We start from the raw sequence: 27,416 nt of genomic DNA, 5'->3' as shown, positions 1-27,416 counted from the left end.
TATCCATCAAGTCCTCTGTCTCTTTCCCCATGTTTATTTCAGTCTTTTCCTTTTGCCTCATTGCACAAGGTACAAGACATAAATTTTTATTTACCCCAAGCCTGGAGCTCAGAGACTCTGACGACCCCTCTGGGTTCTGACTGCTGAAGGGAACAGGCTGTTTTTGATGTTTGTGTCTTCTCTCTTCAAGCTTGAAAGGCCATGCACACTTTTGCAGAGTGCTGCATGTGGCTAAATGCATTCCAAGCTCTTCCTAAGTAAAGCAAGATACTGTCTTTTAAAGTTCTTTTATTCTATATTTGAAGGTTTCAGTATATATGCAAAGAGGTTGATCTTGCAATTAACCTTCTGTCCCAAACTTGTCTATGAGAATTGAAGTATTAAAATCAAACTCTTGGGACAGTATATATGGTTACACTGCACAGTTGTAAGTTCCCCCAGTCCCCAAGAAACCTTAGGTGTTTCCATGAACCTCTGGGAGCCCTGACACCTGGAGGACAAGCTCAGGTCAGTATACTGAAAAACAACAGATGTGTGGCCCAGTCACCCCTGTCATTCTTCAAAATTGCCGGCTAATGCCAGAAAGGAGAGCAAAGCTACCCAAGACCAGCCAGCCCTCTACCACCTACCAGCTGACAAAAACACCTAAGCAAACCCAGAAGGCGTCAGTGGTGTCCGGCGCAAATCAACAGAACTGCCTGTTCATAAATTTGTGATCCGTAATAAACACCTGCTGTTTTAGACCATTAAGTGCTGGGGTAGTTTATCACGCAGCAACAGATAACCAGTAGGCTAAAATATGCAGCTATCTTTTCTGTTATTTTCTCTTGCTTCTTTGTCTGCCTGAAACATTGTTTTTTAAATCCGTGAATGTCTCTACTTCAGCCCAGTAGAGTCTGAGAAAGTGGTTCAGCAAGTTCAGAGGGAATAGCTTTGCAGCACAGATGGTAGCTTCACACAGATTTTTTTTTTTTTTTTTGGTCACTTTTTGTGCCTCCACCTACTTGTTGAAATTGTCATAAAGACCCACAATCCCATTCTCAATTTTCCGGATAAACATGCAATCATTTCTACTGGTCTTTTTCCATCTATTATCGTAACTTCAGGAAATGTAGTAGTTAGGAAGAATAATGAGAAAGACTTCTTGGAAGATGTAAAAAAGGTGCCTACATTCTGAGAATTGGCTAGATTTAGTTAGGTATTGAGAAGAAATTTCCTGTCCAGGGAAGGGTTAATCAAGCAAGAGAAGGCATTGATTGATTTATCCAGCAAATATAATTGAGCAGTTGCCTTAGGTCCAGGTCCACTCTAGAAAATGCAGGTAAATGAGAAAACAAAACAGATAAAGTTCCTGCAGAGGGAACAGGAAATGAGTGAAAAGGTAAGTGAAATAGTGTCAGATGATGAACAGAGCTATGGGGAAAAATTAAATAAGGATTTCTTGGAGTTGCGGAGTAGGTTATAATTTTAAGTAGTGGAGTCAGAGCAGTTGACATTTTATCTGCGTTCTAAAGGATGTGATATCATAAGTCTTGCAAATGTACATGGAAATAGGCTTCCAGGTAGAGGGGACAGCAAGTACTCAGCATCCTTGGAATGAACATGTCTGAGGTTTCCAGGGAAAAGTGAGGAGGCAGTATAGCTGGAATGAGTTGATGGTGGAGGGGTCATTAGGAGAAGACATCAGAGAAGAAATGAAAGGGGGCTTTGAACAAATGATAGCATGATCTGGGCTACATTCCAGAAGAATGAACTGGCTGCTGTGTTGACTATAGACTATCGGGGAGCAATGATGGAAGTGGGGAACCTATCAGGAGATCATTAATATGATCTGACAGCGTATAGTGGCTTGTGCTGTCACGGTGGCTTTGGAGGTGGTTTGGAGTACAGCACTTGGAACTAAGGGAAATTTTGGAGGTAATACTGAAAGAGTTTGCCAATTGATTGGATGTGCTTTGTGAGATAAAGAGAGGAATGAGGATGAATCTATTGTTTCTTAACTTGCCACTTATAAGGAGGGACAATCGGGTTTCGGAGAGATGAGTAGTTTGGTTGGGACAGGAAAGCACAATTCCAGTGATGTCGTCTGGATATCACTGTTTAGTCAATTTGCTTTGAAAAGATGCAATAGGCATATAGGCCCCTCATATAGGCATGAGAGTGGTGGGACATAAGGTGAGGGGGTTTGGGGAAAGATAATGAAAGTTTCTCAGTGTTTTAAATACTAAAGAGAAGAGTTTGAACACTTATCAGACTGTGGAGATGGAGTCATAGAGGGCAAGTAAAATTCTTAGAAACTGGTTGTCCACTAGTGGCCCTTGGAGTGTGGTTATGAAGGGAGAAGTTTCCATAAATCAGGGGCTACCCATGCAGAGGTTGACAACAGTTAGGCAGGGAATGTAAATGAGTGAAGCAGAATATAAGAAAAGCAAAAGCAAAAGCACTCTGGTAAATACAACTGACAGTCTCAGTGGCAGGGGAAGAATTTAGGGAGTGATGGGGCTGTGCCCAAAGGAAGTCCATGTCCCATCCATAAGGGAATTTGCTACTTACCTCCCAGGTAATGCAGTCACGTGTAAAGGCAGTCTCTGCATTATCATCAGATTTTTTAAAACAGAAGCTAGAAATCTAGATTTTTATATGAATAATGTAGATTTGTATACATTGCAAGTAATTTATTTACTCACATACTTTCTCTCTTTCTCTCTCTCTCTCTTTTTCTCTCTCTCTCTCTGCCACATAAAATGCAACTCTAGTAAGCTGAGGTCCATGGCCTATTAATTGAAATCTCTCATACAGAGGGTGTGCATTCCTTGCTCTCCAGGAGATCTGGATTTGGACTTCCTCCAGTTCTGGGGCCAGATTCTCAGGCTCCCTAAGTGCATCCTGCTTTTCTTTGCCGTGGCTTTCCCAGCAGCCACTTTCAGAGGACTGGTTCAGGGTCCTTGCAACTCTAAAAGGGTGATACAGTCCAAATTCTGATGAGATCATCAGCTCCTTCTTCTCCTGCCTTGAGGGCTCACACTTGTAGCAAGGGCGGTGTTCCCCCTATACCCTCAGTACACACCAGTGTTCTATTCCACAAGCACTGCCCTATTCTGTTGCAAAGCTTTCTCTGCATGCAAAAGAGTTCTGGGGAATCTGAACCCCTAGGCAAAACCCTGTGCCAATAACAAATGGAATTTGGTAGATATCTACTGGAGCTCCCTGTTTTCTTCAGTGGGACAACTTTGAGGCATGTTCCACGCTGTCCCCCAGAGATCCCCAGCCAGACTGAGACCTGGTTGCCTATAGATGCAACCTGCTCATTAACACAGCCTGTATTGACTTCGTTCCTTATCTATTTCCTCACTCGCGTACCGGTGCATTCTGGGATAACTACTTGAATTCAAGTCATCATCTCGGGGTCTGCTGCAGCAAAGCTTTATACATCTCCTTCCCACTGAGTGGCCAGAGCAGGAGTGTTATTGGGATGAGTACCGACATTTGCAAGCCCCTCTGCTGGGGCTGGATTCTTAAGCATTCAGGGACTTTGTGACAAGCAGGCTGATTTTTGCCCTTTCCAAGCCCGGTTTTATTGACAAATGCATAACACTCAGCTTGAAACAAAATGTTTTTAGCTCTGTCGTAAACAAGCTAATCCACCGACAAAGCGCCCCCTCTGCTTTCTCTCCCCTCAACCCTAGCACAATTTATTCAGGATCCTTGGTTGCCCTTTTAATTGTATTTCAGTGGAGGATGGACAGAAAACAATAAAAAGCCTCACATCTGCATCCCTACAAGTAAACGGCTACAGCTTAGGACAAAGCCTATGATCAAAGAAGTGGCAGGATACTGGACCAGCTACCTGGACAAGCCAGGGAACTGTAAAGCCCTGCACACCCCTTTCCCCCTCCTCCCCCCCAACACACACACACCCCCCACATCATCGCATCATGGAGCTTTTAGGGGATTTCATTAGCTGGGCTAATTAAGGGCTACTTGCATCTTGTTCATTCTACTTAAGAAGAAAGAGAAGGAAATACTGAGAAATAACACTTTAGACAAGGACTAGACTCAGACTAGACCCTTGTCCTGATTTCTGGGGCAGTGGGAGTGGCTTCCCCAAAGGGCTGTGTTCTCCTTCAGTCCTGCCTTGCTCAGTTACTCTTTCTCTGGGTGCTCTAATGCTGAATTTTGTCTCAATAATGTAGCAGGTACAGTCATTAGTTTAGCAAGCTAGACTGTGAACATTGTGAGAGCAAAGATCATGTGTGTCTTATTCTCTGTTGTGTCCTCATTGCTTCGTGCAGAGTCTGCAAAATAGTAAGCATTTAATCAATATGTACTGAATCAATCAATAAATCAATCCTCAATACATCCTAGGGAAATAAAGGGTTGCTATATAAAAAGAAAAAATATATTTTATAATAGCAAAACAAACTAGTGCTGATGCTGTTAATCCTTAATAAATTTAAACAAGGCCAGGCACGGTGGCTCAAGCCTGTAATCTCAACACTTTGGGAGGCTGAGGTGGGTGGATCACCTGAGGTCAGGAGTTCGAGACCAGCCTGGCTAACATGGTGAAACCCCATTTCTACTAAAAATACAACAAATTAGCTGGATGTTGTGGTGCGCACCTGTAGTCCCAGCTACTTGGGAGGCTGAGGCAGGAGAATTGCTTGAACCCAGAAAGTGGAGATTGCAGTGAGCCGAGATTGTGCCATTGCACTCCAGCCTGGGCAACAAGAGCGAAACCCCATCTCAATAAACAAACAAACAAACAAAATAAAAATATATAAATTTAAACAAACAAGACACACCCAGGCACTCACACACACATACGCAAGACATGCACACTCTGGTTCTGGATGTGAGAAACACAGCAATGTTCCAGGTACTGAAGGAAGGTTCAGCGAGTATCTTCTCAGTCAGGGATATTATTGCTTCGCATGCCTCTTCAGCCTATTTTCTACAGTTATAAGCAAGTTCCCAGCATTTTAAGACCATGCTAGAACGATTTTTCCTGTTTGCTAAATTGTTAAGCCATGTTTGCCTCTGATTACCAAGCTCAGTGATTACTCAAACTCTGTCTCACTCAGTTTTCTCATCTGTAAAAGTAGTTATAATAGTAACACCCACTTTAAAAGGTTTTAGGGGGATTAAATGAATTATTTCAGGAGAAATACATAGAACAGTATCTGGCACATGGCAAACTAACAAAACTCTTAGCTATTGCAGCTACCTGACTTCTGAGCAGTGGCAGAATGAACAAGATGACATGAATTTTTCTCTGCTCTAAATCCCATCAAATTATTCTTTAAACCCTCCGAAAATGTCATTTCTCTGCAATAGGTGTGACTAAAACTGGTGACAATAACTTTACACATTTCAGATCTACAGTTCTTCACACCAGAGGAACTACATTTATAAGCATCTCTCCTCCACTCACTAGCCCACTTCCATTCTATCCGCTGTCACCTCAGCACTGCTTGTTTCAGAAATAAACTTCTAAGCCTGGCACAGTGGCACATGCCTTTAGTCCCAGCCATGCCAGAGGATTGCCTGAAGTCCGGAGTTCAAGGCTGTGATGCACTATGATCAAGCAAGTGAATAACCACTGCACCCCAGCCTGGGCAAAATAGTGAGGCTGGGGAAGGGAAGGGGCGGGGGAGGGAAGGAAAGGAAGGAAAGGGAAAGGAAGAGAAAAGGGAAGGGAAGGGAAATGGGAGGGGAAGAAAAGAGGGAAGAGAGAGAGAAAAAGAAAGAAGAAAGAAAGAGAAAGAGAGAAAAGAAAAGAACTCTCTATGAGTAAGACTAAAGGAAAAGCCAGTCTTTGCAGGCAGCTTCCACCGCAGTTCCACTGTGCATCTGGCTGGCAGAAGAAGTGCATAGTCCGTGGACCCACCTCTCATTCCACATGTTGTTGGGAAAAAGCTGCTCAGAGCATATCCTTTCAGACAATCTCCCTAGGGTCTCAGAAGTTTCTTAGAGGGCTAAGTCCTCAGTCCTTAGACTGAGAGGGCATCCATCTGATAACAAAGAGGTATGGGAACAAAAAATGCAGGTAAAGATGCCTGACTCTCAAGAGAAATCCCTCATCTCAACCCTTCAGCCTCTGTGGAACCGGCTGTATTCAGGACTGCTGAGAGGTAAAAACTTCAGTTTGTCTTCTGTCTTTTTCTGACCACAGAAAGTGAAATAACACTCAGCAGGCGAGGAGGCTCAACCCAAATCAAAGGAGTCCACTCTGCCACTAAAATTGAAAACACATACATTGGTTTTGGCTTTTGGAAACATAGGTGGATGGGAAATGAAGATATGGAATGAAGAGCTTTCTAACTCTGTGATTAGCCTTCTGTGATCTTCAGATTATCTGATGAGCTCTGCTCAAATTCAGTCTTGAAAGAAGCTTTACTGATAGCCCATGCCAATCCATTTTTGTTAAGAAGCAATCCTGTCTGTGTCATGTTCCATGAAATATGAGCTTTACTGATATAATGCTTTAAAAGAGAAAAAGAAAATGAAAAACAGAGAAGCGTAGAAAGAAACACAGAGAAACTTGACTAGATTTCTTAGCAAAGCTACTCGCCAAACTAAACATAGAATTAGCTATTTGTGAATTCATACACTTAAAATTTAAGTATAAACTTACAAAATAAAACAAAACTTATTAAACAAATTCCAGGGAGAAGTCTTGGCCTTATCCTTCAGGACTGATAATTAAGAGGACCTGAGAACCTTGCTGCCCATGGTATGGTTTCGGTTGGGGGAAAAAAAAAGTGCTGTAATGCACAAATTCTTGTTGATGGCTCTGTATTAGTTTCCTAAGACTTGCCAGAACAAAGTACCACAGACTGGGTGGCCTAAACAACAGAAGGGTATTGTCTCACAGTTCTGGAAGCTAGAAGTGCAAAGTCAATGTGTCAGCAGGATTGGTTCCTTTTGGGACATGTGAGAATTTGTTCAGTGTGTCTCTTCTGGCTTCTGGTGGCCTCAGGTGTTCTTTGGCTTATAGATGTTGTTCTCTGTGTCTTTATACCATCTTTGCCCTGTATATGTCTGGCTCTGTTTCCAACTTTCCCCTTTTTATGAGGACACCAGTCATATTGGATTACAGCCCGCCCTAATTACTTCATCATAATTGCATCATCTGCAAAGAGCCTGTTTCCAAACATGATGGTTAATACTGAGTGTCTACTTAATTGGATTGAAGGATGCAAAGTATTGCTCCTGGATGTGTCTGTGAGGGTGTTGCCAAAGGAGATTAACATGTGGGTCAGTGGACTGGGAGAGGCAGACCCACCCTCAATCTGAGTGGGCACCATCTAATCAGCTGCCAGCCAGCCAGGACAAAAGCAGGCAGAGGAACATGGAAGGACTGGACTTACTGAGTCTTCTGGCCTCCATCTTTCTCCAGTTCTGGATGCTTCCTGCCCTCGAACATCAGACTCCACATTCTTCAGCTCTTTGACTCTTGAACATACACCAGTGATTTTCCAGGGACTCTCAGGCCTTTGGCCACAGACTGAAGGCTGCTCTGTCGGCTTCCCTACTTTTGAGGTTTTGGGACTCACACTGGCTTCCTTGCTCTTCAGCTTGTAGATGGCCTATTGAGGGACTTCGCCTTGTAATCAGGTGAGTTAATACTTCTTAACAAACTCCACTTTATATATACATATATCCTAATAGTCCTGTTTCTCTAGAGAACCCTGACTAATATACCAAATAAAGTCACATTCACAAGTACTAGAGGTTAGGATGTCAACATCTTTTTGGTGGACACAATTCAACCCATAACAAACTGAAGCCCTCCTTCCTACTCTTCAAACCAAACAATGTCCACAAGTGAGTAGTGCCTAAGACGACACTCTTATCTTTTTTCTTTTTTTTTTTTTTTTTTTTTTTTGAGATGGAGTCTTGCTCTGCCGCCAGGCTGGAGTGCAGTGGTGTGTGTGTGATCTCCGCTCACTGCAACATCCACCTCCCAGATTCAAGCGATTCCCCTGCCTCAGCCTCCCAAGTAGCTGGGACTACAGGCACACACCACAACACTCATCTAATTTTTTTGTGTTTTAGTAGAGACAGGGTTTCTCCATGTTGGCCAGGAGGGTCTTGATCTCCTGACCTCAGGTGATCCACATGCCTCATCCTCCCAAAGTGCTGGGATTACAGATGTGAGCCACCACACCTGGCCAGTCACTCTTATCTTACAGAAACTCATTTAATCAAAATCAAATATTGCACATTATGCAAGATTGTATGATTTTTATTTTTGCAGGGCAGAGTATTCTAATATGTTGGTCAATTTGGAAACTTTGCAAATTTTTTCAGGCACCATCTGTATTAGTTTCCTATGGCTGCTGTAACAAATTATCACAAAGTTGGTGACTTAAAGCAACATACACTTATTCTCTTACAGTTCTGGTGGCCAGGGTCAGCAGTGGGTTTCACTGGGCTGAAATCAAGATGTTGGCAGGGCCACACACCCTCTGGAGGTTTCAGTGGAGAATCCATTTCTTTGCCTTTTACAGCTTCTAGTGGTCACCTGGATTCCCTGGCTCATGGCCCCTCCCTCTGTCTTCAAAGTACATCACTTCTGTCTCGGCTTCCTTTATCATAATGCCTTCTCTTCTTAGTAAAATCTCCCTCTGCCTCCCCCTGATAAGGACATTTGTGATTACATTTAGGGCCCACCCATAGAATCCAGAATAAGTTCTCATCTCAAGAACCTTAATTTATTCTCACTGGTGAAGTTCTTTTTTCCATATATGACAACATTCATAGGTTCTGTCTACTAGGACGTGAATATATTTGGAGGTTGTTATTCAGCCTACCAAACCATCCATCCTAGATCAACCCAAATTACAGTCTACCTCATTTTCACAAAGGAAAACCTTTCCCTTAAAAGAGCATTCATTTCCTAAATATTTCTTCAAACTTCCTCTCAGCTTTCTTCTCAGACATGTACCCCATCATTCAACACCTTATCAAAGAAGAGTCTGCTTTTAAGTACAGCTGTGCCTATTGATCAGTGCATGGAGATATTTGAACTATAAGAATACTTGAAACTACTATCAATTTTTTTTTCATTCTGAAGACATAGCTTAATTTCTAATGTGTTACCAGTTTTACAAAATATGCACCATATGTTTTCCACCAGACTTGGGGAATGCAGCAAAGTCCTCTTGGCAAATCAAATAATTTTGAGTATTACAAATTAGGGGTTTAAGCACCTCATCTTTTAAATTTATCCCTTAACTATTTAAAGTGATTTTTACATAAACTCTGAGCATGTCCCTGCCATAATGAATAAGAGGATAAATTGACACATTTGCCACTTTAGAAAACAGTCTCTCCTGCTCTCTCCATCCCAGTCCCCATGGAGAGTTTACCCTTGGATGTTGAGTTTAACCATGTGAGCTGCTTTTAACATATGAATATCAGTGGAAGTGACAGTATATCAATTCCGTGTTTAAGACTCTAGGAGGAATAATATGGTCCCACTAGCTCCACTGGGAGCTTTCAGACTTCAACTTGAGAATGAACTACTCTAGGAAGCCAGCACAACTCCAAACCAGGCCCAGAATAAGTCGGGTGGGGCAGCTATCTTACAGACCTCTAAGCATGAGAATAAGAGTTCATTACTATAAGATGCTGAGCATAGATTTACACAGCATTTTATAGCAATAGCAGACTAACAAGGCCACCACTTATGATTATTATATTTTTAATCATTATTAATGAGGAGTAGCTTCAAAAAACAATCGACCACCTATAATCCCAGCACTTTGGGAGACCAAAGATAGTGGTTCAACTGAGGTCAGGAGTCCGAGACCAGCCTGGCCAATATGGTGGAACCCCGTCTCTACTAAAGATACAAAAATTAGCCAGGTGTGGTGATGGGTGCCTGTATTCCCAGCTACTTGGGAGCCTGAGGCAGGAGAATGGCTTGAACCCGGGAGGCAGAGGTTGCAGTGAGCTGAGAAGGCACAATTGCACTCCAGCCTGGGCAAGAAGAGCAAAACCCTGTCTCAAAAAAACAATTGACCCAGTATTTAATTTTTGATTAATGTATGGACAAGAAATATAACATCAAAAACACTCACCTTCAATCAGTGTAATATTTATTATTCCTTAAATTATGTTTATAAATATTTTATTAATGCAAGTTATTTTTAAATTAAGCAAACAGTACGTGTAAAATTGTATACACAGTATGACCTCGACTATGTAAAAATCATAGAAAAATAACAGCAATTTATTTGGGGTAAACTTGATTATCTGAGTACTTCGTTGTTCACTGTGTATGACCTGTACTATAGATTTTAGATATCTACTATATATCATTTTGTAGTATGTTTGTTCTATAGATATTGAATAAAATAAATAATAGTGACTTTTTCCTGAGAAAAAGAACCCAGAAGTTCACTTAGAAAATTGAACCTAAGTAAAATTGTGAATATGACAGAAATTACAGTGGGGAACAGAGAGGTGTGTGCATGTGACAGACAGTAATTTCGAATGTATAGATGAGGGTTTGTGTGTGTGGTAGTTTTTTGGTTTTTTTTTTGTGGGGGGGCTTTTTTTGGTTTGGTATTTGTTTCTTTATTTTTTTTTGTTTTGAAATAGGGTCTCAATAAGTCACCCAGGCTGGAGTGCAGAGGGGCAATCATGGTTCACTGCAACCTTGACTGCAACCTCGACTTTCCTGGCTCAGGTGGTTCTCTCACCTCAGCCTCCCAAGTAGCTGGGACTACAGACACCCACCACTACACCACTTAATTTTTGTACTTTTGGTAGAGATGGGGTTTCACTCCTGGGCTCAAGCAATCCTCCCACCTCGGCCTCCCAAAGTGCTGGGATTAAAGGTGTGAATCACCGTGCCCAGATGAGGTCAATTTTTAATTTCTTTCTCTGGAATGTTGGCTAATTAAGATAAAATGCATTTTTATTTTTAAAATCAAGTATTTTCTTTTTCTAATCAGCTGAGAGATGATGGTGTGCAATACAGTTTCAAATACCTTCAGAGATATTGTCCTCAGAAATTAAACTATGATTTGGTTTTTATTTTTAAATAACTGACTTTTTAATACTTATTACAACATGCCCACAGAAAGTAAAAGAACAATTTTTTCAATCCTAATTAATTATATGAGTTTTCCCTTTTACTTACTTAGAAGTAGAGAGTAAAAAAGACACTTGTGCACCTTTTTATGGAGATCGAGACTCTGAAATGGTCATTCATATATAATACCTTTCCATTCAGAAAATGAGGGGGTGTCTTAGTCTGTTTGTGTTGGTATAACAAAATACTGAGACTGGGTAATTTATGAAAAAACAGAAATTTGTTAATCACAGTACTGGAGGCTGGGAAGGCCAGGTCAAGGTGTGGCAGGCTCCGTGTGTGGTGAGGGCTGCTCTCTGCTTCCAGGACGGCTTCTGGCTGCTGCATCCTCCTGAGGGGACAAGTGCTGCATCTCACATGGCAGAAGGGACAGGAGGGGAATCAGCTCCCTCAAGCTCTTTCATGAAGGCCCTAATCCCATCCACGAGAGCTCTGCCTTAGTGGTTTAATCATCTCCTGAAGTCTCCACATCTTAATACTATCACAATGGTGATTAATTCTCATCATATGAATTTTGGAGGACTTATTCAGACCACAGCAGGGGGCTTTGGTTTTCTGAATATCCAAGGACAGGGGGCCATTAAAGGAGGAAGGTGATGGATTATCTCAAGCCACATTTCAAAATTATTTTGAAAACTATAATTTTCCTATATAAAGGCAAATATGTATTCATTCAACAAAAATTGATTTGTACCACTCGTCGTTCTAAACACTGAGGACTGGAGGTAAACAAGAAATAAAACTTCCTTAGCTGGGCACAGTGGTTCACACCTGCAATCCCAACATTTTGGGAGGCTAAGGCGGGCGGATCACTTGAGCTCAAAAGTTCAAGGCCAGCCTGGGCAACATGGCAAAACCTCATCTGGACTAAAAATACAAAAATTAAATTAACCAGGCCTGGTGGCTCGTGCCTGTAATCCCAGCTACTCGGGTGGCTGAGGCAGGAGAATCGCTTGAACCCGGGAGGCAGAATGGCAGTAAGCTGAGATTGTGCCATTGCACTTCAACCTGGTAGAAGAGTAGACTTTGTCTAAAAAAAAAAAAAAAAAAAAAAAAGGGTTTCTGCCCTTACAAAGCTTAATTTAATTTTCAGTTTAAGAGCTGGTTGCCTTTTTGAAGGGTGAGGATTTGACTGTCTGAAAAGTAGAGGGAAATTCTGATTCTAATGTTGGGATGTTCTCACCATTTGAAAGAAAGAAAAAAAAACTAGCTGAAACCTTTGGAAACCACTTGAAAGCAAAATGTTTCAAGCTGTGGACACTTATCTACTTTAAATTAGAATTTTCTGATATTTTATTAAAACTATAGATTTGTAGGTTACATCCAAGTCAACTAAAGAGGTGGGGCCCAGGAGTTTCTAACTTTAACAAACTTGTCAATTGATTATAACATCATACTTAAAAAGTTTGAGAGTCTGCAAATAGAAGCTTGAAGGACAGTCCAGAAAAAAAAAAAAGTTACAATCTGAACATACCAATTTGAAAATCGATTTTGGTGAATTTTAAAAATATAAATATTTAAAATTAACATCTTTCATTTAAATAATGCAAAAATATTCAGGAACTGCAGGAAGAAATTTGCAAAACTGCGTTGAAATAAATTAAGAGGACACATAAATGGTGACACATTCCTCAAAGGAAACATGTATAATTGTAAAGAATGAAATTCTCCCCTGATTAATCTGCACTCTTCATGTATTTCCAATCCAATTAATATACACTTCTGAACACCTTTCGCATGTGTTTTGAATTCACTCTATCTATCCCACATCTATTTTGTCCTTCATCTTTAAATTTATACCTTTCTGTCTTTTACTCTGACTTCAAAAATAATCATTCAAGATTCCTGAATTAGTCAGCTTAGGCTACTTATATTGCAATAAAAAAATTCCAGAAGCTTTTTAGTTTAATTAGGTCCCATCTATTTATTTTTGTTTTTGTTGCATTTGCTTTCAGGGTCTTAGTCATGAATTCTTTGCCTAAGCCAATATCTAGAAGAGTTTTTCTGATATTATCTTCTACAATTTTTATGGTTTCTGGCCTTAGGTTTAACTCTTTTATCCATCTTGAGTTGATTTTGTATAAGGTAAGAGATGAAAATCCAGTTTTATTCTTCTACGTGTGACTTGCCAGTTTTTCCAACAACATTTATTGAATGGGGGTCTTTCCCCAGTCTATGTTTTTGTATGCTTTGTTGAAGATCAGTTGGCTCTAAGTATTTGGCTTTTTTTCTGGGTTCACTATTCTGTTCCATTGGTCTATGTGCCTATTTTTATACCAGTGTCACGGTGTTTTAGGAATTATAGCCTTGTCGTATAATTTGAAGTTGGGTAATGTGATGCCTCCAGATTTATTCTTTTTGATTAGCATTGCTTTTGCTATGCAGGATCTTTGTTAGTTACATATGAATTTTAGGGTTGTCTTTTTTAGTTTTGTGAAGAATGATGATGGTATTTTGAGGGGAATTACATTGAATCTGTAGAGTGCTTTAGGCAGTATGGTCATTTTCACAATATTGATTCTACCATCCATGAGCATGGGATGTGTTTCCATTTGTTTGTGTAATCTGACTTCTTTCAGCAGTGCTTTCTAGTTTTCCTTGTAGAGGTCTTTCACCTCCTTGGTCAAGTGTATTCCTAAGTATTTTATTGTTTTTTGCAGCTGTTGTAGAAGGGATTGAGTTCTTGATTTGATTCTCAGCTTAGTCATTTTGGGTGTATAGCAGTGCTACTGATTTGTGTACAGTCCTTTTGTATCCTGAGACTTTACTGAATTTGCTTATCAGATCTAGGAGCTTTTTGGATGGGCTTTAGAGTTTTCTGGTATATAATCATATCATCAGTGAACAGTGACAGTTTGACTTCCTTTTCCAATTTAGATACCCTTTATTTCTTTCTTTTGTCTGATTGCTCTGGCTGTGACTTCCAGTACTATGTTGAATAGAAGTGATAAAAGTGGGCATCCTTGTCTTGCTCCAGTTCTCAGGGGGGAATACTTTCAACATTTCCCCATTTAGTACGAGGTTGGCTGTGTGTTTCTAATATATGGCTTTTACTACTTTGAGGTAAGTCTCGTCTATGCCTATTTTGTTGAGAGTTTTTATCATAAATAAATGCTGAATTTTATCAAATAGCTTTTCTACGTCTATTGAGATGATCATGTGGTTTTTGTTTTTAATTCTGTTTATGTGATGTATCACATTTGTTGACTTGCATATGTTAAGCCATCCCTGAATCCCTGGCATAAAACCCACTTGATCATGATGTATTATCTTTTTAATATGCTGTTGGATTCAATATGGAGATTTCTTAAAGAACTAAAAGTAGAACTATCATTTGATCCAGCAATCCCACTCCACTACTAGGTATCTACCCAAAGAAAAATAAGTCATTATATGAAAAAGACTCATGCACATACATATTTACACCAGCACAATTCACAATTGCAAAGATGTGGAACCAACCTAAGTACTCTTCAACCAATGAGTGGATAAAGAAAATTTATATATATATATATATATATATATATATGAACAGAATACTACTCAGCCATAAAAAGCCATAATGTCTTTTGCAGCAACTTGGATGGAGCTGGAGGCTGTTATTCTAAGTGAAGTATAATAATTCAGGAATGGAAAAACAAATATCATATGTTCTCACTTACAAGTGGGAAGTAAGCTATGAGGATCCAAAGGCATAATGCTGATATAATGGACTTTGGGGAATCAGGGGGAAGGTTGGGAGGGGGGTGAGGGATAAAAGACTACATACTGGGTACAATGTACACTGTTCGGGTGATGGGTGCACTAAAATCTCAGAAACCACCAGTAAAGAACTTATTCGTGTAACCAAAAAGCACCTACCCAAAGAACTATTGAAATAAAAATAAAAGTTGAAAAAAATCTAGTATTTAATAGCACAACAGGGTGACTACAGTCAGTAATAATTTAATTGTACATTTTAAAATAACAGTATAATTGGATTGCTTGTAACACAAAGGACACAGTTTGAGGTGATAGATACCCCATTTACCCTGATGTGATTGTTTCACATTATATGCATGTGTCAAAATATATACCCCATAAATATATATGTACCTTCTATGTACCCACAAAAATTAAAAATTCAGAAAAAACACCAATATTTCAATGCTTACAACAAGAAAGGATTTTTTCGCCATGCTATATGGGCATCACGGTTAGGCTGAGGCTGCTCCTTGTGATCTTCAGACAAGGATTATATTTCCAGTATGTAGCTGTCAAGCTTTATGTGTCTATTGACTGTACTATTTATCCCTGGTGCATGGGTAGGGTCATTTTAGCAGGACATTGAATATGGGAATGAGGCAAAAGTGTGAGCTTTGTTTACAGTCTCAATCATCATTTTAGAGAATAAATGAAATGAGTATTTAATCCAAGAAGTTAAAGAAATTCTCAAACTGAAACCAATTGAGGGAAATATTTTAATAGATATGTAAAGTAAGGGTTTTTTTCCCCAAAATACCAATAAAATGTGTAAAAACAAATTTAATAGAGAAAAATGTAAACAAAAATGCATGTTTTTGAATAATAGCACAGGTAAATTCTCATTTACCTATGATATGGATATCATATCATATGGAGAAAATTTCTAATTCTATGCTATTTAAAATATTTAATAACATTGGAAAAGATAGGAAGCATTTCCCTGATAATAAAATTTGACAAATAGACCACTATGAAATAATGTACAGATTAATCTTTTCACTAAATATGAAGGATACATGAAAAGATTAAAATTGTAGACTTAGAAGTTAAATAGAACTCTATTCAAATTCTTACCCTATTACACAAAAATATTTTGTGATTTGACCACTTAACCATTCTAAATTATTTTTCTAAAGTAGGATAGTTATAGTTTTCTTAAGAATAATTGTGAGGATTAGAAAATGATGTAAATGAATTCCAAAATATTGCATGCATTCAGCTTATGTCTAATAAAGCTTGCTGATGTATGATGATGAGGAGGAGAATGGCAAAATTGCTGCAACATTAAAAACAAAATTTTAGAAGCCTAAATCTTAAAGCATGTGATAAAATAGAGTCAAGACGTTATAGGGTTTATTCTAGAAGTGCAAGAAGAATTTAACATTAGAAATTTTTTTTCTTTTTTTTTATTATTATACTTTAACGTCTAGGGTATATGTGCACAACGTGCAGGTTTGTTACATATGTATACATCTGCCATGTTGGTGTGCTGCACCCATTAACTCGTCATTTAGCATTAGGTATATCTCCTAATGCTATCCCTCCCCACTCCCCCCACCCCATGGCAGGCCCCAGTGTGTGATGTTCCCCTTCCTGTGTCCAAGTGTTCTCATTGTTCAGTTCCTACCTATGAGTGACAACGTGCGGTGTTTGGTTTTCTGCCCTTGCAATAGTTGGCTGAGAATGATGGTTTCCAGCTTCATCCATGACCCTACAAAGGACATGAACTCATCCTTTTTTATGGCTGCATAGTATTCCATGGTGTATATGTGCCACATTTTCTTAATCCAGTCTATCATTGATGGACATTTGGGTTGGTTCCAAGTCTTTGCTATTGTGAATAGTGCCGCAATAAACATACCTGTGCATGTGTCTTTATAGCAGCATGATTTATAATCTTTTGGGTATACACCCAGTAAAGGGATGACTGGGTCAAATGGTATTTCTAGTTCTAGATCCCTGAGGAATCGCCACACTGTCTTCCACAATGGTTGAACTAGTTTACAGTCCCATCAACAGTTTAAAACTGTTCCCATTTTTCTCCACATCCTCTCCAGCACCTGTTGTTTCCTGAAATTTTAATGATCGCCATTCTAACTGGTGTGAGATGGCATCTCATTGTGGTTTTGATTTGCATATCTCTGATGGCCAGTGATGATGAGCATTTTTTCATGTGTCTGTTGGCTGCATGAATGTCTTCTTCTGAGACGTGTCTGTTCATATCCTTTGCTCACTTGTTGATGGGGTTGTTTGTTTTTTTCTTGTAAATTTGTTTGAGTTCATTGTAGATTCTGGATATTAGCCCTTTGTCAGATGAGTGGATTGCAAAAATTTTCTCCCATTCTATAGGTTGCCTGTTCACTCTGATGGTATTTTCTTTTGCTGTGCAGAAGCTCTTTAGTTGAATTAGATCCCATTTGTCAATTTTGGCTTTTGTTGCCATTGCTTTTGGTGTTTTAGACATGAAGTCCTTGCCCATGCCTATGTCCTGAATGGTATTGCCTACGTTTTCTTCTAGGGTTTTTATGGTTTTAGGTCTAACATTTAAGTCTTTAATCCATCTTGAATTGATTTTTGTATAAGGTATAAGGAAGGGATCCAATTTCAGCTTTCTACATATCGCTAGCCAGTTTTCCTAGCACCATTTGTTAAATAGGGAATCCTTTCCCCATTTATTGTTTTTGTCAGGTTTGTCAAAGATCAGATGGTTGTAGATGTGTGGTATTATTTCTGAGGGCTCTGTTTCGTTCCATTGGTCTATATCTCTGTTTTGGTACCAGTACCATGCTGTTTTGGTTACTGTGGCCTTGTAGTATAGTTTGAAGTCAGGTAGTGTGATGCCTCCAGCTTTGTTCTTTTGGCTTAGGATTGTCTATGCAATGTGGGCTCTTTTTGGTTCCATATGAACTTTAAAGTAGTATTTTCCAATTCTGTGAAGAAAGTCATTGGTAGCTTGATGGGGATGGCATTGAATCTATAAATTACTTTGGGCAGTATGGCCATTTTCATGATATTGATTCTTCCTATCCATGAGCATGGATTGTTCTTCCATTTGTTTGTGTCCTCTTTTATTTCATTGAGCAGTGGTTTGTAGCTCTCCTTGAAGAGGTCCTTCACATCCCTTGTAAGTTGGATTCCTAGTTATTTTATTCTCTTTGAAGCAATTGTGAATGGGAGTTCACTCATGATTTGGCTCTCTGTTTGTCTGTCATTGTTGTATAAGAATGCTTGTGATTTTTGCACATTGATTTTGTATCCTGAGACTTTGCTGAAGTTGCTTATCAGCTTAAGGAGATTTTGGGCTGAGACGATGGGGTTTTCTAAATATACAATCATGTCATCTGCAAACAGGGACAATTTGACTTCCTCTTTTCCTAATTGAATACCCTTAATTTCTTTCTCCTACCTGATTGCCCTGGCCAGAACTTCCAACACTATGTTGAATAGGAGTGGTGAGAGATAGCATCCCTGTCTTGTGCCAGTTTTCAAAGGGAATGCTCCCAGTTTTTGCCCATTCAGTATGATATTGGCTGTGGGTTTGTCATAAATAGCTTTTATTATTTTGAGATACGTCCCATCAATACCTAATTTATTGAGAGTTTTTAGCATGAAGGGCTGTTGAATTTTGTCAAAGGCTTTTTTTGCGTCTATTGAGATAATCATGTGGGTTTTGTCTTTGGTTCTGTGTATACGCTGGATTACATTTATTAATTTCCGTATGTTGAACTGGCCTTGCAACCCAGGGATGAAGCCCACTTAATCATGGTAGATAAGCTTTTTGATGTGCTGCTGGATTCGTTTTGCCAATATTTTATTGAGGATTTTTGCATCAATGTTCATCAGGGATATTGGTCTAAAATTCTCTTTTTTGGTTGTGTCTCTGCCAGGCTTTGGTATCAGGATGATATTGGCCTCATAAAATGAGTTAGGAAGGGTTCCTTCTTTTTCTATTGATTGGAATACCTTCAGAAGGAATGGTACTAGCTCTTCCTTGTACCTCTGATAGACTTCGGCTGTGAATCCATCTGGTCTTGGACATTTTTTGGTTGGCAGTCTATTAACTATTGCCTCAATTTCAGAGCCTGTTATTGGTCTATTCAGGGATTCAACTTCTTCGTGGTTTAGTCTTGGGAGGGTGTATGTGTCCAGGAATTTATCCATTTCTCCTAGATTTTCTAGTTTATTTGCATAGAGGTTTTTATAGTATTCTCTGATGGTAGTTTGTATTTCTGTGGGATCAGTGGTGATATCTCCTTCATCATTTTTTACTGCATCTATTTGATTCTTCTCTCTTTTCTTCTTTTTAATCTTGCTAGTAGTCTATCAATTTTTTTGTATCTTTTCAAAAAACCAGCTCCTGGATTCATTGATTTTTTGAAGGGATTTTTGTGTCTCTGTCTCCTTCAGTTCTGCTCTGATCTTAGTTATTTCTTGCCTTCTGCTAGCTTTTGAATGTGTTTGCTCTTGCTTCTCTAGTTCTTTTAATTGTGATGTTAGGGTGTCAATTTTAGATCTTTCCTGCCTTTCTCTTGTGGGCATTTAGTGCTATACATTTCCCTCTACACACTGCTTTAAATGTGTCCCAGAGATTCTGGTATGTTGTGTCTTTGTTCTCAATGGTTTCAAAGAACATCTTTACTTCTGCCTTCATTTTGTTATTTACCCAGTAGTCATTCAGGAGCAGGTTGTTCAGTTTCCATGTAGTTGAGCGGTTTTGAGTGAGTTTCTTAATCCTGAGTTCTAGTTTGATTGCACTGTGGTCTGAGAGACAGTTTGTTATCATTTCTGTTCTTTTACATTTGCTGAGGAGTGCTTTACTTCCAACTATGTGGTCAATTTTGGAATAAGTGTGATGTGCTGCTGAGAAGAATGTATATTCTGTTGATTTGGAATGGAGAGTTCTGTAGATGTCTATCAGGTCCGCTTGGTGCAGAGCTGAGTTCAATTCCTGGATATCCTTGTTAACTTTCTGTCTCGTTGATCTGTCTAATGTTGACAGTGGGGTGTTAAAGTCTCCCATTATTATTGTGTGGGAGTCTAAGTCTCTTTGTAGGTCTCTAAGGACTTGCTTTATGAATCTGGGTGCTCTTGTATTGGGTGCATATATATTTAGGATAGTTAGCTCTTCTTGTTGAATTGAACCCTTTACCATTATGTAATGGTCTTCTTTGTCTCTTCTGATCTTTGTTGGTATAAAGTCTGTTTTATCAGAGACTAGGATTGCAACCCCTGCTTTTTTTTGTTTCCATTTTCTTGGTAGATGTTCCTCCATCCCTTTATTTTGAGCCCATATGTGTCTCTGCATGTGAGATGGGTCTCCTGAATACAGCACACTGATGGGTCTTGACTCTTTATCCAATTTGCCAGTCTGTGTCTTTTAATTGGAGCATTTAGCCCATTTACATTTAAGGTTAATATTGTTATGTGTGAATTTGATCCTGTCATTATGATGTTAGCTGGTTATTTTGCTTGTTAGTCAATGCAGTTTCTTCTAGCATCAATAGTCTTTTCAATTTGGCATGTTTTTGCAGTGGCTGGTACTGGTTGTTCCTTCCCATGTTAAGTGCTTCATTCAGGAGCTCTTGTAAGGCAGCCTGGTGGTGACAAAATCTCTCAGCATTTGATTGTCTGTAAAGGATTTTATTTCTCCTTCACTTATGAAGCTTAGTTTAGCTGGATATGAAATTCTGGTTTGAAAATTCTTTTCTTTAAGAATGTTGAATATTGGCCCCCACTCTCTTCTGGCTTGTAGAGTTTCTGCGGAGAGATCCACTGTTAGTCTGATGGGCTTTCCTTTGTGGGTAACCCGACCTTTCTCTCTGGCTGCCCTTAACATTTTTTCCTTCATTTCAACTTTGGTGAATCTGACAATTATGTGTCTTGGAGTTGCTCTTCTCGAGGCGTATGTTTGTGGCATTCTCTGTATTTCCTGAATTTGAATGTTGGCCTGCCTTGCTAGGTTGGGGAAGTTCTCCTGGATAATATCCTGCAGAGTGTTTTCCAACTTGGTTCCATTCTCCTTGTCACTTTCAGGTATACCAATCAGACATAGACTTGGTCTTTTCACACAGTCCCATATTTCTTGGAGGCTATGTTCGTTTCCTTTTACTCTTTTTTCTCTAAACTTCTCTTCTTGCTTCATTTCATTCATTTAATCTTCAATCACTGATACCCTTTCTTCCAATTGATTGAATCGGCTACTGAAGCTTGTGCTTGCGTCACGTAGTTCTCGTGCCATGGTTTTCAGCTCCATCAGGTCATTTAAGGTCTTCTCTACATTGTTTATTCAGTTAGCCATTGGTCTAATCTTTTTTCAAGGTTTTCAGCTTCTTTGCAATGGGTTCGAATATCCTCCTTTAGCTGGGAGAAGTTTGTTATTACTGATTGCCTGAAGCCTTCTTCTCTCAACTGGTCAAGTCATTCTCCATCCAGCTTTGTTCCATTGCTGGTAAGGAGCTACGGTCCTTTGGAGGAGAAGAGGCACTCTGATTTTTAGAATTTTCAACTTTTCTGCTCTGGTTTCTCCCCATCTTTGTGGTTTTAATCTACCTTTGGTCTTTGATGATGGTGATGTGCAGATGGGGTTTTGGTGTGGATTTTTTTCTGTTTGTTAGTTTTCCTTCTAACAGTCAGGACGCTCAGCTGCAGGTCTGTTGGAGTTTGCTGGAGGTCCACTCCAGACTCTGTTTTCCTGGGTATCACCAGCAGAGGCTGCAGAACAACAAATATTGCAGAACAGTAAATGTTGCTGTCTGATTTTTCCTCTGGAAACTTCATCTCAGAGGGGCGCCCAGCCATATGAGGTGTCAGTCAGCTCCTACTGGGAGGTGCCTCCCAGTTAGGCTACTCGGGGGTCAGAGACCCACTTAAGGCCACAGTCTGTCCATTCTCAGATCTCAAATGCTGTGCTGGGAGAACCACTACTGTCTTCAAAGCTGTCAGACAGGGACGTTTAAGTCTGCAGAAGTTTCTGCTGCCTTTTATTCAGCTATGCCCTGCCCCTAGAAGTGGAGTCTACAGAGGCAGGCAGGTCTCTTTGAGCTGGGGTGGGCTCCATCCAATTTGAGCTTCCTGGCTGCTCTGTTCACCTACTCAAGCCTCAGCAATGGTGGCTGCCCCTCCCCCAGCCTCTCTGCTGCCTTGCAGTTCGATCTCAGACTGCTGTGCTAGCAATAAGCAAGGCTCCATGGGCGTGGGAACCTCCGAGCCAGGTGCCGGATATAATCTCCTGGTGTGCTGTTTGCTAAGACCGTTGGAAAAGAACAGTATTAGGTTGGGAGTAACCCGATTTTCCAGGTGCCATCTGTCACAGCTTCCCTTGGTTAGAAAAGAGAATTCCCCAACCCCTTGCACTTCCCGGGCCAGGCAATGCCTTGCCCTGCTTTGGCTCACACTCTGTGGGCTGCACTCAATGTCCTGCACCCACTGTCCAACAAGCCCCAGTGAGATGAACCCAGTACCTCAGTTGGAAATGCAGAAATCACCCATCTTCCATGTCACTCACGCTGGGAGCTGTAGACTAGAGTTGTTCCTTTTCAGCCCCCTTGGAACCTAAATCCTAGAAGTATTTTTAGTTCATCACATTATAGGTGAAAGGAAGAAAAAAATGCATGGACATCTCAATAGATGATGAGAAAGCGTTTTGTAAAATTTAACATTTGATCCTAACCAAAGGGAAAAAAATTCTAGGAAAACTCAGAGCAGAAAGCTACTTATTTGGTATGATAAAGAATATCTATCAGAAATCAGTAGAAAATATTGGCCATGTCTTGAAGCATTTCTATTATATTCAGGAAGAAAAAAGGAAGCATAGCATCACTGTAATTATTTTGGATGTTCTAGAACTTCTAGTTAATATTACAGATAAGAAAAGTGTAATAATTAAACAGAAGGACCAAAGTTATCATGGCTTACAAATATGACTGCTTGACTGGAAATAACTGAAAAATACCAGATAGAAATATATTAGAATGATGAAAGATGTTTAGTAATAAGGCCAAAAATGATAACTATTACAAAAGCAAGAACTATAATGCTGATAATTATAAATGTGAATTATTAAGAAAAAATTCTATGCTAATATAGAATAAACATTGTGACATAAAAAGATATAATTTAAAAAACTTACCTGATGGAAACTATAAAACTTGACTAAATGGTGTAATTATGAGACCAGGCATGCTCTTGGATAGAAGGACTCATGATTATGAATACGTCATTCTCTCCTAATTTTCATCAAAATTAAAATGGGAGTAGTTCTTAATTTGACCAAAAAATGATTTTTACTTTTGCATTTTTCTATGAAAACACAGAAAAATATTCACAAAAAGTGATGAAGGAACACATTATTAAGGCACATTAAAAGACACTATGATTTAACCCACCTGATGATGGTGCACACACTAACAGAACAAGGAAAGAGAACTGAGAACTCTGAAACAGACAAACAAAATGGAATCTAACACATGCTAAAGATGAGTTTTAAATGCTTAAAATAATGAATTATTTATCAAATGGTACTAGGAAAACTGGCTAAATTTGGACAAAATAAAATTAGATTCTAATGTTATAGATGACACCTAAATACTTCTAGAGAAGTTCAAGAGTCAAATAAAAATAAAATTTTAAAATAACTGAAAAAATTCTTAGAAAAATATGCTTGTAATCTAGGAATAACAGGTCATTCTAATCTTAGCATTAAAAAGACAGGTTTGAGCCAAACAAATAACTAGGGAAATACTGTAAATACATAGAAAAAATAGTGTCCCTGATAAATAGCAATATATTAATATATAGTGTTAAATTATGTATAATATGTAAAAATTATTAATAATATTATTAGGATAATATTAATAGTATATATAGCAAACAAAAAAGAACTTCATGAGAAAAAAGAATATGGAGATTCCCCAAAAGGTAAATACAAATGGCTTTTAAACATAAGCAAAAATATTCAAACAGTAATAAATTAAGAACTATAATTTAGAAAAAGATATGCCTTTTGTTCCTAAAATTTAATAAAGGTTGAAAATAACAATAATTAGTGTTATCAAGGGTGTGCACAACTGGCCACCACTGAAGCAAATATAAGTTAGTATAACCTTTCAAAGTAGTAATTTGCTAATGAGTAATTAACAAATTAAACTTATATGGCTGATTATGCTTTAACTTAGTAAATTAACTTCTAAAATTTACATGAAGGGCATAATTGGACAAATTCACTAAATATATGTGCGAGACAAATCATAAAATTTAGCAGGTAGCAAAATAATATATCCAATATAAATGCCTATTAATAAAGAACTGGTGAAATAAAATACCATCAGTCCATGGGATACTAGCTTGCATTAAAAATAATGGCTCAGAGCTACTTTTGTTGAAAAATGTACTTGTTTAAAAACAAAGTTTTGGAGCTTTCACAATAAACATGTTCATAATATTACTTTTAGAATCATAGAAACAAAACTTAGCTATGTATTTCATACTAATTTAGGTGAAAACATAGGGAAGCAAATCCTCTCATTAGAATGTAAATTGGTCACCTCATTCTTAGGTCAAGATGGTCTGTATTTATTAAAAGCCTTAAAAATAGCCATACTTAAAAAGACAATTGCACTTCTAAGATATTGTCCTAAGGAAATAGTAAGACTTGAAAATTGCTAAGAAAATAGACTTTAAATGTTCTCACCACAACAAAAGTAATAATAAGTATGTGAGGTAATGGATATGTTAATTAGCTTAATTTAGTCATTTCAAAATATATGCATATATCAGCACATCATGTTGTACACCATATATTCACATAATTTTTGTCAATTAAAAATTAAATTAATATATAAAAATAAAATCACCAGCAGGAGAAAAGCACATACAAGGATGTTCATTATTTATTGGGGAAACAATTGTAAATGCCAGTAATAGTGCAAGTGCAGTGAGTTCTTACACCATGAGGCACTGTGTACTTTTAAGGTATGAGTGTATGTCCTTTCTGTTTCTGTTTAGTCCAACCCCTTCAGACCTGAGAGCCTTCCCTTAACTGCCACACCCTAAGGGATTAAGGTCGAGGGATCATGTGTGTTCCAGGCTGCCCTACGGTTGTTAATCAAACCAGATGATCAGATAGGGGCTAAGCAGTTTGAGACACAAAGAGTCACTTCCAGAAGAATGCCTGTGGGTGCTTTGCTTCACATGATCTATTGCTTATTCTCACATACAGAAATGCAAAGGGCCCATGGCCCCTGACTCAACTTCACAGAAGTGTCTGGTGCCAGAATGGCAAGGGGACCTATGATGCCCCCACAACTTCCTTTTCCTTTTCAGCTCGTGATTACTCAGTTTGGGAACAGTGACAATAACTTTACAAATACATATACAGATGTATCTTCTGTCTACTCAGGTCAGTAATACTGCACTTTGGTTCCTTGAAGCTGAATGCCCACCAAAGTTTCTGAACAAAGTCCCTAATGGTGGGTCTTTTCATGTGAAGAAGGAAAAGTTCCTCATTTAAAGTCTCTTCAAATTTTTGTGAATGGGTGGCACTCATCTCAGTAGATATCTAATGGCCTGCTCCCAGCATGGACCAGTTAGGGGTATCTTCTTCCACCAATCCTATTCCTCTGTCTTTTCTGGGGTACCACGGTGATCCAATAAATGTTTAATTCTTCATGGTAGTTATTTCTTTTAACCTGACTTTCCTCAGATTATTTATCCCTTCGACTGAGACAGTTTATAGTACATCTTGGCTCTTTTTATTCTCTTTTGATTTATTGCTATAACCGTGTGTCCATTTGAAGAAGTGAGCCTGAACTTCAACAGGCAAGGGAAACATGAAGGAAAAATAGTGACAGAGACTGTGAGACCTGAAGGAAGGGGAGTCCTGTGAATGTACTTAGTGGAGAGAACTGCAGGCTGAATCCCCAGTGCCTGTGGGAAGGAAGAGGAATGCAGATGGACTCAGACTGAGCAGTGACCATCCCAGCAGAGGATACAGGCTCTGGCAGATGCTCAGCCTTTATGAGCCCCTGCTTGGTATTTTTTTTTTATTCTCCCCAGACTGGTTACCCCTTCTTTTGGTGAGTGCATCCAGATCCTTATTTAGGAAAGTATTACCTTTCCCCTTTGCATATAATCTTGGCAAGACTAAGCCAGTCAACTCCAGCCTACTCTGAACAAGGGCCTTGCTTGTAACCCAAGCTTGGATAGTTGTACTCTACAACTTAAGACTTTACTTCTTTTACAGTCTGTAAATAATAGACCCAGTCTTTCAAGCTCGGGCTATCAAATCTCAAAACCCATGGATTTCATCCCTACTCTATACTAAAAAAAAAAATAGGTCAAAAAATAGGTTAGCAATAATACAGTTTATAAAGAATTTAGTTATTAAATCTTATCTAACCCTTCAAGGTAAATGCTTAGAAGATAATCTAATTGCATGGAGAAATGTCACAATACATAAAGTTAAAAAAATGAGATCAATAATTGTTCAAAATAAGTTATGATATTCACACACTGAAAGAATGCTAGAAACATACTGTGAAAGGTTAATAGTGTTGGGGTTTGGTGATTTTTATTTTGTTTATATTTTTAAATTTGTATAACACCTATTAATATTTGTGTAACTGAAAAACAATAATAAAAGAACTGCTCACATTTTCTTTTCTGGTAGCTACTATGAAAATGTCAGCATGAAGCAGGGTAAATAATTCGACCTCTTGCCTTGGAGCATGTTTTCAAATAGTAGACCCGGAAATAACTGAGCTGAAGGAAAAATACTAGAATTACTGAAAGTTAGATCTCCAAGGGATCTTAGCAATCATTGCATTCAGCATCTTAGTTTTTCAGATGAGGAAATGAGAGAAGAAGAATAGGAGAAGAAAGTCAGCATATTTGACCCAATAAATCATCATCCTTTTAACAGAATTGAGAATGGACACCAATTCCAAAAGAGGTTTTCTATCTCTTAAAAAAAAAATTCTTATAAAAATGTGATCTTTAGCCTCTGCCCTGGGTGCAGAATTTAACTAGCATAGAAAAATGGGCATTTTGTAGAATTCACTTTCCCTTTAAAAACTATATTTAAAAAACCAAATGTTCTCCGGTCCCCGCTGTCAATGCTGTGTTGTTCTTGCTTCCACTAGCTGAGAAGCAAAAGGCTCCTTGGAAAACTCCCTGCCTCCCTCCATCCCTTCCTCTCTCCCTTCCTTTCTTCCTTCCTTTCTTTCTTCCTTCTTTCCTTCCTTCCTTTCTTTCTTCCTTCTTTCCTTCCTTCCTTCTTTCTTTCCTTTTCTTCTCTTTCTCTCGTTCTTTCTTTCTTTCCTTCTTTCTTTGTTTTGTTTTCCTTTCTTTCTTTTTCTGTCTTTCTCTCTCTTTCTTTCTTTCTTTTGTGTATTATTTCCGATTAAGAAAACATTAGATATCCGTGCCAGATGCTGAAAATAATATAGAAAATCCTAATCACATATCATATTGTCACTCCAAAACAATGATAGTTAATATTTAACAGAGTTTCAGATTCCCTCATTCTCTCTTTTCCTTTCCTCTTCTCTTTCAACATTTTTTTGGTCAG

At 38.7% G+C, this 27,416-nt stretch overlaps 1 long non-coding RNA gene across 2 annotated transcripts in view; it reads left to right on the top strand.

Moving 5' to 3' along the window:
- The first annotated feature begins 1,310 nt into the window (after positions 1-1,310).
- The window catches only part of LOC107984249 (uncharacterized), a 46,275-nt gene continuing 20,169 nt past the window's right edge, over positions 1,311-27,416 (top strand). For both annotated transcript variants that reach the window (XR_001747521.2, XR_001747520.2), the window contains exon 1: positions 1,311-1,381. This is a non-coding gene — a long non-coding RNA (uncharacterized LOC107984249). The remainder of the gene's footprint in view (positions 1,382-27,416) is intronic.

Source organism: Homo sapiens, chromosome 10 (assembly GCF_000001405.40).
Source record: "Homo sapiens chromosome 10, GRCh38.p14 Primary Assembly".
Taxonomy (NCBI): Eukaryota; Metazoa; Chordata; class Mammalia; order Primates; family Hominidae; genus Homo; species Homo sapiens.
Note: the sequence above shows the minus strand (reverse complement) of the source record. Positions and strands in the feature narration are given on the sequence as shown.